Here is a 15,632-nt window from a genome sequence, read left to right as displayed (position 1 = left end):
CTCTAGTCTGTTCCATTGATCCATTTGTCCTTTCTTTTGCCAATACCACACTGTTTTAATTAATGTAGCTTTTTTATTTTTATTTTTTGAGATAGTGTCTTGGCTGGAGTACAATGGCATGATCTTGGCTCACTGCAACCTCTGTCTCCCGGGTTCAAGTGATTCTCATGCCTCAGCCTCCTGAGTAGCTGGGATTACAGGTGTGTACCACCATACCTGGCTCATTTTTTTTTTTTTTCTTGAGATGGAGTTTGGCTTTTGTTGCCCAGGCTGGAGTGCAATGGCACGATCTCGGCTCACTGCAACCTCTGCCTCCCAGGTTCAAGCAATTTTCCTGCCTCAACTTCCCCAGTAGCTGGGGTTACAGGCGCCCACCACCACGCCCAGCTAATTTTTGTATTTTTAGTAGAGACAGGGTTTCACCATGTTGGCCAGGCTGGTCTCGAACTCCTGACCTCAGGTAATCTGCCCAGCTCGGCCTCCCAAAGTGCTGGGATTAGAGGCATGAGCCACCGCGCCTGGCCTAATTAATGTAGCTTCATAATGATTCTTGAGGTTGAGTATTGTCGGTCCTCTGACTTTATTCTTCATTGGCTATTCTAGGTTTTTTGCCTCTCCTGATAAACTTTATTATTATTATCATTTTTTTTTTTTTTGAGATGGAGTCTCATTCTGTTGCCCAGGCTGGAGTGCAGTGGCGTGATCCCAGCTCACTGCAACCTCCGCCTCCTGGATTCAAGCGATTCTCCTGCCTCAGCCTCCCGAGTAGCTGGGATTATAGGTGCATGCCACCACGCCCAGCTAATTTTGTATTTTTAGTAGAGACAGGGTTTCACCATGTTTGCCAGGCTGGTCTCGGAACTCCTGACCATAAGTGATCTGCCCACCTTGGCCTCCCAAATTGCTGGGATTACAAGCATGAGCCACTGTGCCTGGCTTCCCTGTAAATTTTAGAATCAGTTCGTTGGTATTCACAAAATAACTTGCTGGGGTTTTCATTGGGATTGCATTAAATCTACAGATCAAGTTGGGAAGAACCGACATCTTGATAATATTGAGTCTTCCTACCCATGACTCAATACACATTGAGTGACATAACAAAATACACATTTTGTTAGATTTATATATAAGTATTTCATTTTTGGGGGTGCTCATATAAATGGTAATGTGCTTTTAATTTCAAATTCCACTTATTTGTCACTGGTATGTAGGAAACTGGTTGACTTTTATGTATTAACCTTGTATCTTGCAGTCCTGCTATATAATCTCTTATTCCAGAAATTTTTTTTCACTTCTTTCTGATTTTCTACATAGATAATCATATCATCTACAAAGTTTTATTTCTCTCTTCCTAATCTGTATACTTTTAATTTCCTTTTCTTATTAGTTAGGACTTCCTATGATGTTGGAAAAAAGTGGTGAGGGGGAACATTGTTACCTTGTTCCTGTTCTTCGTAGAAAAGCTGTGACTTTCTCATCAAGTATAATGTTAGCTGTAGGTTTTTTATAGATGTTCTTTATCAAGTTGAGGAAGTTCCTCTCTATTCCTCATTTTCTGAGAGTTTATTATTTACCATGAGTGGGTGTTGGATTTTGTCAGATAGTTTTTCTCCATCTATTGATATGATCATGTGATTTTTCTTCTTTAGCCTGTTGATGTGATAGATTATATTAATTGATTTTATTTTTTATTTTTTATTTTGAGACAGAGTCTCGCTCTGTCACCCACACTGGAGTGCAGTGGCGTGACCTCGGCTCACTGCAACCTCTACTCCCTGGATTCAAGCAATTCTCATGCCTCAGTCACCCGAGTAGCTGGGATTACAGGTGTGCACCATCACATTCAGCTAATTTTTGTATTTTCAGTACAGACAGGGTTTCACCATGTTGGCCAGGCTGGTCTTGAACTCCTGACCTCAAGTGGTCCACCTGCCTTGGCCTCCCCAGGTGCTGGACTACAGGCACGAGCCACCACATCCAGCCTATTGTTGATTTTTGAATGTTTAACCTATAGTCCTATGGTGAGGTCTCAGTCTTTTGGTGAGCCTGTGCACCTAGACTGTGAACTTTACCCATTTTTCTTAGTTCTCCTCCCCGCTTAGGTGGGACAGAATGGCCAGAGGGGGCTGGAATTGTGTATTTGCCCTCTCTCAGGAAGTTTAGGCTCTGAGAAAATCCCAACAGGTTAGACACTGGCAAAATAATTTCTCCTGAGGGCAGACCTTGTTAAGAACAGAATGTTCTGTCGTATTTAAAAATATAAGAGGCCGGGCTCGGTGGCTCACGCCTGTAATCCCAGCACTTTGGGAGCCTGAGGCGGGAGGATCACGAGGTCAGGAGATCGAGACCATCCTGGCTAACACGGTGAAACTCCGTCTCTACTAAAAATACAAAAAATTAGCCCAGTGTGGTGGCGGGCGCCTGTAGTCCCAGCTACTCGGGAGGCTGAGGCAGGAGAATGGTGTGAACCCGGGAGGTGGAGCTTGCTGTGAGCCGAGATCGCGCCACTGCACTCCTGCCTGGGGGACAGAGCGAGACTCTGTCTCAAAAAAAAAAAAAAAAAAAAAGGAAAAGAAAAAAGGAAAGGTTTCTTTGCCCCTCCCTCTGCTGGAAGCATGAAGGGATTTTTTCCCCCCCTCAGTTTTCACTGTAAGGAACTCGTAGAGCTCCTGGAGGTAAAACTCGTCAAAGAATGGGGCTCCCCAGTAATTGGGTCTCCTGGAGTTTTAAACTCTCACAGTTGTCCACACTGAGCCTCCGGCAATTTGTTAGTTATAGTTAAGGTTTTCCTACCCTAGTGCTGATTTGGTGGAGGATTTTGCTCCAGTAAACTGTGATTCTCTGTATCTGCCGGTCTGTCTGTCCAATTTGGGAGGCAGCAGTTTCCCCCTTAACCTCATTTCTTTTTTTTTGAGACAGAGCCTTGCGGTCACCCAGGCTGGAGTGCAGTGGCATGATCTTGGCTCACTGCAAGCTCCGCCTCCCAGGTTCACGCCATTCTCTTGCCTCAGCCTCCCAAGTGGCTGGGACTACAGGCGCCCGCCACCACGCCAGGCTAATTTTTTGTATTTTTAGTAGAGACGGAGTTTCACCGTGTTAGCCAGGATGGTCTCGATCTCCTGACCTCGTGATCCTCCCGCCTTGGCCTCCCAAAGTGCTGGGATTACAGGCGTGAGCCTCTGCGCCCAGCCACCTTATTTCTTTAAGAGTTGATTTTTCAGTTGATTTAGCTTTTTACATGTTGTTAGGATCAGGTGGCGACTTCTAAGCTTCTTACACATACTGGACTGGAAACCAGAAGGTTGAGTGGTATTTCTTTTCTTTCTTTCTTTTTGAGACAGGGTCTTGCTCTTGTTGCCCAGTCTGGAGTGCATTTGTGGGATCATAGCTCAACTGCAGCCTGGAATTCCTGGGCTCAAGCGATCATCCCACCTCACCCTCCTCATTAGCTGGGACTACAGGTGTGTGCCACTGCACCCAGCTAGGAGTAGAATTTAGATAATAATAATAATAAAAGCACTTCTTCTGTTATCTGTCATATATTGCTTTCAGTGATGCCCACGTTCTCCTTCCTGTTTTCCCCTCCAGTGGAGCCCCGTCAGCCTGTCTAGCGTCCTTCCAGGATCTCTCCATTCTCTGTCAGTGGCAGGGAATCTCCTCGTTCTGCTGCGTGGTGGGGCACAACCCTTATCTTTAGTTTTCCACAATGAGATCGTAATTTCCGTGTCTTTCGTAATGTATTTACACATCTTAATGTGCCTAGTACTCTTTTTGTCGAGTATTGACTGGGAGTCAGCGTGGGCTAGAAGGGATGCAAGCACTTTATGAGAAAGTGGGAGGGAGTACTTCTGACCATGCCTGGTGGAAGGACCTCCTAGGTGGGAAGGGTAGGCAGAGGCATGCTGTGTTCCAAGGACTGTGCTAAGGACAGTGGCGGCTTGAAATTTGTATTTTAGAAACACTTTCTAAGGTGGCCTAGGGGATAGCATAGAGGAGAGAGGGATCAAGAAGCTGGGAGACCAGAGAGGAGGCTGCTGTAGTGGGGGTTGGGGGAGGATATACATTTGGGCAGGAGCATTGAGAATGGAAAGGAGGAGAGAATTTGGGAGATAGGGAGAGGACCAGGCCATTGGAAACGAGGAAGATTTTGAGCCTGGGTGAGTGGGAAAAAGGCACTACTGTTAACTGAAATAGGCAAATCAGGAGGAAGAAATTATTTTGAATAGAGGAAGGAAAAGATTATAAGTTGGGAATCAAGTTAGAGAACAAATTGGTTTTCAAATTTTGGGGAAGGAAAAATAGGTAAAAACTGCAGAAAGAATGATAAAAAAAGTAGAGGAATAGTGGGGTGATTTTGTACCCGCATCTCGCCATTTGGTAATGTTTGAACATTTTTTTTTTTGAGACAGAGTCTCACTCTGTCACCCAGGTTGGAGTGCAGTGGCTCAATCTTGACTCATTGAAATCACTGCTGCTCAGGTTCAAGCGATTCTCCTGCCTAAGCCTCCCAAGTAGCTGGGATTACAGGTGCCTGCCACTGCGCCCGGCTAATTTTTGTATTTTTAGTAGAGACGGGGTTTCACCATATTGGCCAGGCTGGTCTTGAACTCCTGATCTCGTGATCCACCCACCTCGGCCTCCCAAAGTGCTGGGATTACAGGTATGATCCACCATGCCCGGCCGAACATGTTTTTTATTGTTACCATGTTGGTGGTAGTACAGCTGGCATCTAGTGAATAGAGGGCAGTGTTGCTGCTAAACATTCCTGCAGTACACAGGGCAGCTTTGCCCCTCAGCAAAGAATGACCTGGCCCCAGATACAAAGCGTCAAGGCTGAGCCGTGCTGGAGTAGAATTCTTAAGACTGAGCTTTATCCTTTCTTCCTTCTGGCATCCTCTTAAACATTAACCTTTGCTTTGCAATTGGTGCTGATAAGTGAACAGCTCATATGATCTCATGTAATTTTCGCAGAAACTTCTGTTAGATACTGCTACATTGTTTTATGGTGTGAAAACAGACTTGGAGGCCTGCCCAAGGTCTGCACAGCTATTTTGTGCAGAGCCAGCACTCCACCTGGGCTGGACTGGTCTTTTTTTTTTTTTGGAGGCAGGGTTTTTGTGTTGCCCAGGCTGGAGTGCAGTGACGTGATCACGGCTCACTGCAGCCCCAACCTTCCAGGCTCAAGCAGTCATCCCACCTCAACTTCCCAAGTACCTGGGACCACAGGCTCAATGCCACCATGCCTGGCCAATTAAAAAAAAAAATTGTAGAGATCGAGTCTTGTTATGTTGCCTAGGCTGGTCTCCAGCTCTTGGGCTGAAGCAATCCTTTCACCTTGACCTCCTGAAGTGTTGAGATTGATTATAGGTGTTAGCCACTGTGCTTGGCCTAGCCTGTTCTTTTAATGGTACCTCCTGGCTTTTCTTGTTTTCAGAGAGGTGGGGGTTAATACCGTCCTGATTACTCCGTAGAGGTGCTGATGTTTTACTGCAGCACTGTTTTTTTCACCTGAGCCATAGCTGCAATTTGAATTTTAGATGGTTAGAAGAAATTTTTCAAAAATCTGCTTTTTTTTCTTATTTTCCTTGTGCTCTAAATTCAGTAGCTGTTTTGATATTACGCTGTATTCTCTTTTCCATGTAGCCAGCCCTATGGCTTAAAGATCATTTCTCTGTTGAGACACTGGTTATGTCGTGATTTTTTTTTCTTTCTAGTCATTTTGACTTTTAGATGATAGTCATGGAACTGCCTGCTCTATTTTCTCCTAGGTCCAGGCCCTCAGCCTTGGGGACTAAGCCCTGTATGTGCTAGACTGGGTACCCTGTGACTTGTAGACAGTTTGCGGAGCTTTCAGTGGCTTTTTTGCTTTTCAGCAAAATATAGTTGGTTAGGTAACTTCTTATCTTAATTTATCAGGTGGAAATCTTTGTGTTACAGGTTGGAGCAGACAGTTCCTCAGGTTTGTCATCTGCCTAAGCATTCATTCAGCGGATTCACATACATGAATCCCAAAATATCCCCGTTGCTAAAAATGACAGGGGAAAAAACCCAAATAATTAAAAATAGGTAGATGTTTGACATTAGAGATGGCATATTTCTTTCTTTTTCTTTTCTTTTTTTTTTTTTTTTTTTTTTTTTTGAGATGGAGTCTCACTCTGCTGCCCAGGCTGGAGTACAGTGGCCCGATTTCGGCTCACTGCAACCTCCTCCTCCCGTGTTTAAGCGATTCTCTTGCCTCAGCCTCCTGAGTAGTTGGGACTATAGGTGTCTGCCACCATGCCCAGCTAATTTTTGTATTTTTAGTAGAGATGGGGTTTCACCGTGTTTGCCAGGCTGGTCTTGAATTCCTGACCTCATGATCCACCCGCCTCAGCCTCCCAAAGTGCTGGGATTACAGGCGTGAGCCACCATGTCCGGCCTAGAGATGACATATTTCAAGACCTTGGGCAGCCTACTAAGTTGTTGTATCACTGTAGCATGTAGCATGGGTTTTTCTTGTTTTATAGTGCTATAGAATGTAACAGGCATTAAATAATCTCTTTTTTTTTTTGAGATGGAGTTTCACTCTGTTGCCGAGGCTGGAGTGCAATGGTACGATCTCAACTCACTGCAGCCTCCATCTCCCGGGTTCAAGCGATTCTCCTGCCTCAGCCTCCTGAGTAGCTGAGATTACAGACATGTGCCACCACGCCTGGCTAATTTTGTATTTTTAGTAGAGACAGGGTTTCACCATGTTGATCAGGCTGGTCTTGAACTCCTGACCTCAGATGATCTGCCCGTCTTTGCCTCCCAAAGTGCTGGGATTCCAGGCGTGAGCCACTGTGCCCGGCCAGAATTTTATAATTTTATAACCTGTGTATTTGATGTAAGTGCTGAGGCAATGGAGCATTATTCATAATGTTTATAATTGACATGTAATAATTGTACATATTGGTCGGGTGCGGTGGCTCACGCCTGTTATCCCAGCAATTTGGGAGGCCGAGGCGGTTGGATCACTTGAGGTCAGGAGTTCGAGACCAGCTGACCAACATGGTGCAACCCTATCTGTACTAAAAATACAAAAATTATTAGCTGGGCATGGTAGTGGGAGCCTGAATCCTAGCTACTCAGGAGACTAATGCATGAGAACCGCTTAAACCTGAGAGGCGGAGGTTGCGGTGAGCCGAGATTGCACCATTGCACTCCAGCCTGGATGATAGAGCAAAACTCAGTCTCAAAAAATAATAATAATAATAATTGTCCTATTTATGAGGTATAAGGTGAATTTATTCCTTCCATCTGACTATAATATTGTACCAGTTGGCCAACCTCTCCCTGTCTCCCCTCCCCTCGCCTCTGGTAAGCACTATTCTCAACTTCTATGAGATCAACTTTTTTAGATTCTACACAAGTGAGATCACATTGTTACTGTCTTTCTGTGCCTGACTTACTTTGCTTAATATAAGTACTGTCCTCCAGGTTCATCCATATTGTCACAAATGACAGAATTTCCTGCTTTTATAAGGCTTAATAGGATTCTACTGTGTATATATACCACATTTTCTTTATTCATCTGTTGATGGACACTTACATTTATTCTATAATCAATTGATGGCTTTTGTGACTAGTGCTGCAATATACATGAGAGTGTAGATGTCTGATGTACTGATTTCATTTCCTCTGGATGTATTACCAGTAATGGGATTGCTGGATTTTTAATTTTTTATTTTATTTAATTAATTTATTTATTTTTTATTTTTTTGAGACTGAGCCTTGCTCTGTCTCCCAGGCTGGAGTGCAGTGGTGTGATCTCGGCTCACTGCAACACTGCCTCCCGGGTTCAAGTGATTCTCGTGCTTCCTCCTCACAAATAGCTGGGATTACAGATGTACACCACCATGCGTGGCTAATTTTTTTGTTTTTTTAATAGAGACAGAGTTTCACCATGTTGGCCAGGCTGATCTCGAATTCCCGACCTCAGGTGATCTGCCCGCCTCAGCCTTCCAAAGTGCGGGGATTACACGCATGAGCCACTGCACCAAGCCTGGATTTTTTTTTTTTAAACTTGCTTTGATGAGCAGGAGCTGGATCTTAATGGTAATTCTATTTTTAATTTTCTGAGGACCCTGCATACTGTTTTTCATATCTGTACTAACTTACATTGCCATCAACAGTGTGTAAGGGTTCCCTTTTCTCCACATCCTTGTCAACGTTTGTTATCTTTTATCATTGAAAATAGACAGTCTAATAATGACTAGTGGTGGTCAGCATTTTTTCATATACCTGTTGGCCATTTATTTTATTTTTTTTAAATTTACTGAGACAGGGTCTTGCTCCGTCACCCAGGCTGGAGTGCAGTAGCACAATCACAGCTCATTTGCAGCCTCAACCTCCCAGGCTCAAGTGATCCTCCCATCTCAACCTCCCGAGTAGTTGGGACTGCAGGCACGTGCTACCTACCACATGTGGCTTTCTGGCCATTTATTTGTCATCTTTTGATAAATGTCTGTTGGGTCTTTTGCCTTGTTTTTGTTATTGAGGGATGGAATCTTGCTCTGTCATCCAGGCTGGAGTACAGTGGTGCATTCATAGCTTACTTCAGCCTCAAACTCTTAGGCTCAAACAATCCTCCTATGTCAGCCTCCCAAGCTGGGAATATAGGCACACGCCACCATTTAGGGCAAATATATTTTTTTTTTTTTAAACAGGGTCTTGCTCTGTCACCCAGGCTAAAGTACAGTGCAGCCTTGACTTCCTGGGCTCTAGTGATCCTCTTGCCTCAGCCTCTTGAGTAGCTGGTGTCCATTTTTTAATTGGTTTCCTTTCCTTTCTTTGCTGTGAGTTCCTTGTATATTTTCTATATTATCCCCTTAACTGATGTATAGTTTGCAAATAGATTCTTCCATTCTGTAGGTTGTTTCTTCACTCTTGTTTCCTTTGCTGTGCAGAAGCTTTTTAGTCTGCTATAATCCTATTTGTTTATTTTTGTTTGTGTTGCCTGTGCTTTTGAGGTCTTTTAAAAAAAATTCCTGGCTCAGACCAAGGTCATGAAGCTTTTTCCCTATGTTTTCTTATGGCAGTTTCATAGTTTCAGGTCTTACTTTAAGTTTTCGATCCATTTTGGAGTTTATTTTTGTATATGGTGTGAGATAAGGATCTAATTTCATTCTTGTGCGTGCGATATCCAGTTTTCCCAACACTGTTTATTGAAGAGACTGTCTTTTTCCCTATTGTGTTCTTGACACTTGTTGAAAATCAGGTAGCTGTAAGTGTGGATTAATTTGTGGGCTTTTATTCTGTTATATTGGTCTCTGTCTGTTTTTATGCCAACACCATGCTGTTTTGGTTACTATGACTTTGTAGTATATGTTGAAGTTAGGTAGTGTGATTCCTCTAGCTTTGTTCTTTTTGCTCCAGATTGCTTTGGCTACTGGGGTCTTTTGTGATTTCATATAAATTTTAGGATTGGTTTTCCTATTTCTATGAAGAATGTCATTGGTATTTTGATAGGGATTGCATTGAATGTATAGATTGCTTTGGGTAGTATGGACTTTTTTTTTTCTTTTTTTTTTTTTGAGACAGAGTCTTGCTCTGTCACCCAGGCTGGAGTGCAGTGGCGTGATCTTGGCTCACTGCCACCTCCGCCTCCTGAGTTCAAGAGATTCTCCTGCCTCAGCCTCCCGAGTAGCTGGGATTACAGGCGCCCACCACCATGCCCAGCTAATTTTTGTATTTTTAGTAGAGGCAGGATTTTATCATGTTGGCGAGGCTGGTCTTGAACTCCTGGCCTCAGGTGATCAGCCCACCTCAGCCTCCCAAAGTGTTGGGATTACAGGCGTCAGCCACGCGCTTGGCCAGTATGGACATTTTAACAATATTAATTCTTCTAATACATGAACATGGGATATTGTTCCATTTATTTGTGTCTTCAGTTTCTCTGATCAATATTTTAAAGTTTTCATTGCAGAGCTCTTTCACCTCCTTGGTTAAATTTCTTTCTTTTTCTTTTCTTTTTTTTTTTGTTAGCTATTGTAAACAGGATTGTTTTCTTGATTTCCATTCCAGATAATTTGCTATTAGCTGGCATGCAGTGGCGTGATCACAGCTCACTCCAGCCTTGACCTCCTGGGCTCAAGTGATCTTCCCACCTGAGCCTCCCGTTTAGAAATAATACTGCTACTGATTTTTGTATGTTGATTTTGTATCCTGCAATCTTACTGAACTTATTAGTTCTCATAGTTTTTTGGTGGGGTCTTTAGGGTTTTCTATATGTAAGATCATGTTGTCTGCAAACAGGGATAATTTAACTTCATTTCCAATTTGGATGCCTTTTATTTCTTTCTCTTGCCTTGTTTTTCTGGCTATCAAGAGAAGCTGAAATGATTCATTTCATTTTTGCTCAACAATTTATGTAAAATAACCTCTTTGGACCAGCGTGGTGGCTCACGCCTGTAATCCCAGCACTTTGGGGGGCTGAGACAGGTAGATCATGAGGTCAGGAGATCGAGACCATCCTGGCTAACACGGTGAAACCCCGTCTCTACTAAAAATACAAAAAAATTAGCCCGGTGTGGTGGTGGGCGCCTGTAGTCCCAGCTACTTGGGAGGCTGAGGCAGGAGAATGGTGTGAACCTGGGAGGTGGAGCTTGCAGTGAGCCGAGATCGCGCTGTTGCACTCCAGCCTGGGTGACAGAGTGAGACTCCGTCTCAAAAAAAAAAAAAAAAAAAAAAAAAAAAGAACCTCTTTATACTGCTTGTTATTCCCTTAGTATTCTGTTTTAAGGAATCATGGGTTGACAGTTAGTGATGCGTGCACCACTGGGTCTGGAGGGCAGGGGTGAGAATTCCTGCCAGCAGGTACTTCCTGCTTTTTTCTGTTTCCTTCCTGTCATTGTGTTGAGTGTGGAATAAGTGTGTTATTGTCACTGTATTTGAGATTTTGCTTGAGTATCTTGTGCCTCTCATATATATGTGTGTGTGTGTGCATATATATATTTAAATTTATTTATTTATTTATTGGAGATGATGTTTCGCTCTTGTATTTATTTATTTATTTATTTATTTATTTATGTATTTATTTATTGGAGATGATGTTTCGTTCTTGTCCCCCAGGCTGGAGTGCAATGGCACAATCTCGGCTCACTGCAATCTCTGCCTCTCGGGTTCAAGTAGTTCTCCTGCCTCAGCCTCCTGAGTAGCTGGGATTACAGGCACGTGCCACCATGCCCGGCTAATTTTTGTATTTTTAGTAGAGACAGGGTTTCACCATGTTGGCCAGGCTGGTCTTGAACTCCTGACCTCAAGTGATCTGCCCGCCTCAGCCTCCCAAAGTGCTAGGATTACAGGCGTGAGCCGCCACATCCAGCCCATGCCTCTCATATCTAATTATGACTTATAAAGCTATTATGCCAGGTGATAAAGTTTGTGGTTTCAAAACTTCTTGCAAATCCTTGAGAGCTCCTGGGGTTTTACTTGGGAGGATATTTTTGACAAATTATATGATAAATTGAACTGTTACATTTTTGCTACCATTTCTGGCATTTCTTCCTACCACATTTTATTGTTCCTGGTCATATTATTATTTGACTCATTGGTAGTTGGCTTTTTTTCTAGGTAAATTTCTCACAGTTTGGGTTATTGGTGCCAGTCACCTTGCTTCATTTATTTTGACTGTCACTAAAAAATAATTGACAATTTATTCACTAAAACCTATTGAACAATAGAGGCTACAGGTAATAAAAAGCAGTTGAAGGGTTTCCAGGTTGTGAGCTTGTTTCTGGCCAAGCTAGTCTGCCTTCCTTCTTTAGCAGTACGGGGGTAAACTTTGAATCAGGTTACACAATTTAGAACAGTACTTCATCTGTTTGCCTTTGCATTTGACTGAGATTTCCAGAGTATGTGACCGGAAGAAAAACTAGGGCTTTTAACTCTGTTTTAATGCCCGTTCTGTTGCTTGGTAGCCAGAAACCCATGTTGGCTGTGACCAGACGCGGCAGGGGGATTCTGATAAGCCACACAGTTGAGGCGCCACGCCAAGTTTAACAGAAAGGTTAAGGCTGCTTTTGGTTCCTTTGATCTACACGCTGTCGGCCTGCTTCACAGCTTGCTTTGGGAAAACAAGAACTTTGGGTTCCCTTTTATTTTTGTTCTTTTTAACTAAGGTAGACAACCTTCTGGGAAAATAGATCCTGACTCTTGCTGTCTTGTTCCTAGAGACTCATGATGGTTTTTCATTTTAAGTAACCTTTGAAAAAACCTCTTAAATATGTCTTACTTAAATCTGGGAAAAAATTGTTTGTGCTAGAAGCACATTCAAATTTTTTATTTGGTAAGAAAATGAGATATAGTTCACAAACCATACAATTCACCCATTTAAATTGTACAGTCCAGTGGCTTTTAGTGTAATCACAGATACTTGCAGCTGTTACCACAGTCAGTTTTAGAACATTTTCATCTTTCAAAAAGAAACTTTTAGCTATCATCCCCTACCCCTAAGTACCCCTTCCCACCCCAGCTCCTGGCAACCACTAATGGACTTTATAGATTTCCTTGTTCTGGACAGTTCATATGAATGGAATCATATAACATGTGGTCTTTTGTGACTGTCTTCTTTCACTTAGCATAATGTTTTTAAGTTTCATGTTGTAGTATATATCAGTACTTCATACTTTTTTATTAAAACTGTGGTAAAATAAGGTCAGGCATGGTGTGCCTGTAATTCTAGCACTTTGGGAGGCCGAGATGGGTGGATCACCTGAGGTCAGGAGTTCCAGAGCAGCCTGGCAAAACTCCGTTTCTACCAAAAATACAAAAATTAGCTAAGCATGCTGGCATACACCTGTAATCCCAGCTACTTGGGGGGCTGAGGCAGGAGAATCGCTTGAACCTGGGTGGTGGAGGTTGCAGTGAGCCGAGATTGTGCCACTGTACTCTAGCCTGGATGACAGAGCAAAACCCTCTCTGAAAAAAATAAATAAATAAATAAAATCAAGTAAAATTGTGGTAAAATAAGCAGCATTAAAAATACAATTTTAACAATTTAAAAATATATAGTTTAGTGGCATTAAGTACATTCATTGTTGTGCTGCCATCACCACCATCCGTCTCCAGAATGTTGTCGTCTTCCCAAACTGAAACTCTGTACCCATTAAACTTAAACCAACTCCCCATTTCCACCTAGTTACCCTTATTTTTAAAAATTAATGAGCTCGATCAGAATCTGTTTTCAGTTTTAAGCCACTAAATTTGTAGTAATTTGTTATAGCAGTAATAGGACATGGAGATGTTTGTGTCATAGAGGTTTATAGAGAGTAGTCCTGATGGAAGGTGATTTTGCAGCTCACGCAGCTCCTATGACATTTTTCTTTTATCTTTTCTTTTTCTTTTTTTTTTTTTTTTTTTTTGAGATAGGAGTCTCACTCTGTCGCCCAGGCTGGAGTACAGTGGCGCGATAACGGCTCACTGCAACCTCTGCCTCCTGGGTTCAAGCGATTCTTCTGCCTCAGCCTCTCAAGTAGCTGGTATTACAAGGTGTGTGCCACCACACCCGGCTAATTTATATTTTTAGTAGAGACAGGCTTTCACCATGTTGGCCAGGCTGGTGTCAAACTCTTGACCTCAGGTGATCCACCTGCCTTGGCCTCCCAAAGTGCTGGGATTACAGGCATGAGCCACTGCGCCCGACCTCCTGTAATGTCTTTAATGTGGCACATGGTGCTCTCCAGCTTTGCCTCCTATCTCTTTGACAACTCTTCATGGTTAGTTACAAGCAGGGACTCGAGCCATATGCCTGGGTTTGATTCCTTGCTTAGCTACTTACTTGGTGTGTGATTAGAGTATTGAGGTCTCCTGTTTCATCTGAAGGCCGTGGTAACCAGTTAATGTTGGGAGTTTTTTGAACAAGCTCCTAGTCAAAATCAGTTGACAGATTTTTAGTAACACTAGCGTAGAAGATCTTGGAACTATTAATACATATCAAATGGAAAGCCCTAGAGAAGAAGGTTTAAATATTGCCTCAAGATTTTTTTTTTTTTTTTTTTGAGACGGAGTCTTGCTCTGTCGCCCAGGCTGGAGTGCAGTGGTGCCATCTCGGCTCACTGCAAGCTTCGCCTCCCGGGTTCATGCCATTCTCCTGCCTCAGCCTCCTGAGTTGCTGGGACTACAGGCACCTGCCACCACGCCTGGCTAATTTTTTGTATTTTTTTAGTAGAGACGGGGTTTCACCGTGTTAGCCAGGATGGTCTAGATTCCTTGACCTTGTGATCCACCCGCCTCGGCCTCCCAAAGTGCTGGGATTACAGGCGTGAGCCACCGTGCCCGGCCCACACGGGCAATTTCAAAAACGCTTCCCCACCTCTACTGCAGAAAAACAGAAAGGGAATTTGTCTGTTTTTAATGTGACTCATGGAGTTAAATTGAGAGAATAAATCGAGATAAGATGAGAACAGTTCTTGTGTAACCCTGACTTTTCATCCATATTTATCCAAGAAGAGTGATTTAGCTCACCTGCAATAAAGATACTTACTGTCCTCTTATTTCTGACAGAGGCGGCCTTAGCAACATGCTGTTCCAGTGCTCCCTACCTGACACCACAGCCACCCTTGGTGATGAGCCTCGGAAAGTGCTCCTGCGGCTGTATGGAGCGATTTTGCAGATGGTGAGTTGGTAGGCTACTTTGGGAGGGGGGGATCCTGTTAACATTTTAAATCCTCTTTGCTGAGATACCTTGGAAAGAGATTTTAAATACTTTAATGGTGTTACTAAAGATATTTGAGTATATTGCTTTTACTTTTACTTTAATTGGGCTGCACAGCTTGGTTTGCATTCTAAGTTAATTCGTGTTTTTTTTAGTTATTATTTATTAGTAAACTAGTGCAAGTATTCCCAGTTTTACATCCAGAGAAGGTACAATGTTGGTTAAATCTTCAATAGTGCTTGATGATTCTTGGTTCTACATATTGATTAAAATTTTCAGCTCAGATTTAGATTATAAAGTTCTAATGTGGAGAAGGTATTGTTTTTATAACATTATCCAAAAGATTTTAGAGGATAGTCCCAGTTAACAAAGTATGATCTCAACGAAGCTGAATTTAATAACTGTTTCTCTGAGATTTCTTTAAAACTTTGAGTTGTTTGTTACAGTCATAATCTTTCTAAAGTTTTATATTAGATAATCTAATTCTTAAAGTACCTATTGAATTATCCAGTTATAGGATATCCCAACTTGTCTGGGTTTATTATTATTATTATTAATGTCATGAATTTACTATTTCATTGAGCACGGTAGAAATATTAGGTTGATATATATATTTTTGAGATGGAGTTTCACTCTTGTTGCCCAGGCTGGAGTGCAATGGCGTGATCTCAGCTCACTGCAACCTCTGCCTCCCGGGTTCAAGTGATTCTCCTGCCTAAGCCTCCCAAGTAGCTGACGTTATGCATGCCACCACGCCTGGCTAATTTTGTACTTTTTTAGTAGAGACGGGGTTTCACCATGTTGGTCAGGCTGGTCTCAAACTCCTGACCTCAAGTGATCCACCCGCCGTGGTCCCCCAAAGTGCTGGGATTACAGGCATGAGCCACCGCACCCGGCCAGGTTGAGGTATTTCTGTGGTAGAATTTTTTTTTTTTTTCCTGAGATGGAGTCTGGCTGT

The 15,632-nt window shown here is 42.8% G+C and overlaps 1 protein-coding gene across 13 annotated transcripts in view, besides 1 other annotated feature; it reads left to right on the top strand.

Moving 5' to 3' along the window:
• The window catches only part of CHKA (choline kinase alpha), a 68,530-nt gene that overhangs the window by 9,735 nt on the left and 43,163 nt on the right, over nt 1-15,632 (top strand). For 11 of the 13 annotated variants that reach the window (NR_164782.1, XR_007062448.1, NM_212469.2 and 8 more), the window contains exon 2: nt 14,524-14,635. Coding sequence is in view for 11 of the 13 variants with exons in the window: in NM_212469.2 (NP_997634.1) it covers nt 14,524-14,635 (112 nt within the window). In the remaining 2 variants the exon portion in view is untranslated. The remainder of the gene's footprint in view (nt 1-14,523; nt 14,636-15,632) is intronic. The other 2 variants (NM_001376222.1, NM_001376221.1) reach the window with 1 other exon arrangement.
• Nucleotides 7,933-8,133: a silencer, noted in NCBI's record as "fragment chr11:67870988-67871188 (GRCh37/hg19 assembly coordinates)". NCBI's record gives its function as "represses an EF-1alpha promoter that drives an FKBP-Casp9 reporter gene in an ReSE screen in K562 erythroleukemia cells {active_cell/tissue: K562}" and the evidence as "EXISTENCE:reporter gene assay evidence [ECO:0000049][PMID:32094911]".

Source organism: Homo sapiens, chromosome 11 (assembly GCF_000001405.40).
Source record: "Homo sapiens chromosome 11, GRCh38.p14 Primary Assembly".
In the NCBI taxonomy this organism is placed as follows: domain Eukaryota; kingdom Metazoa; phylum Chordata; class Mammalia; order Primates; family Hominidae; genus Homo; species Homo sapiens.
This window is presented reverse-complemented; position numbering and strand designations above follow the sequence as displayed.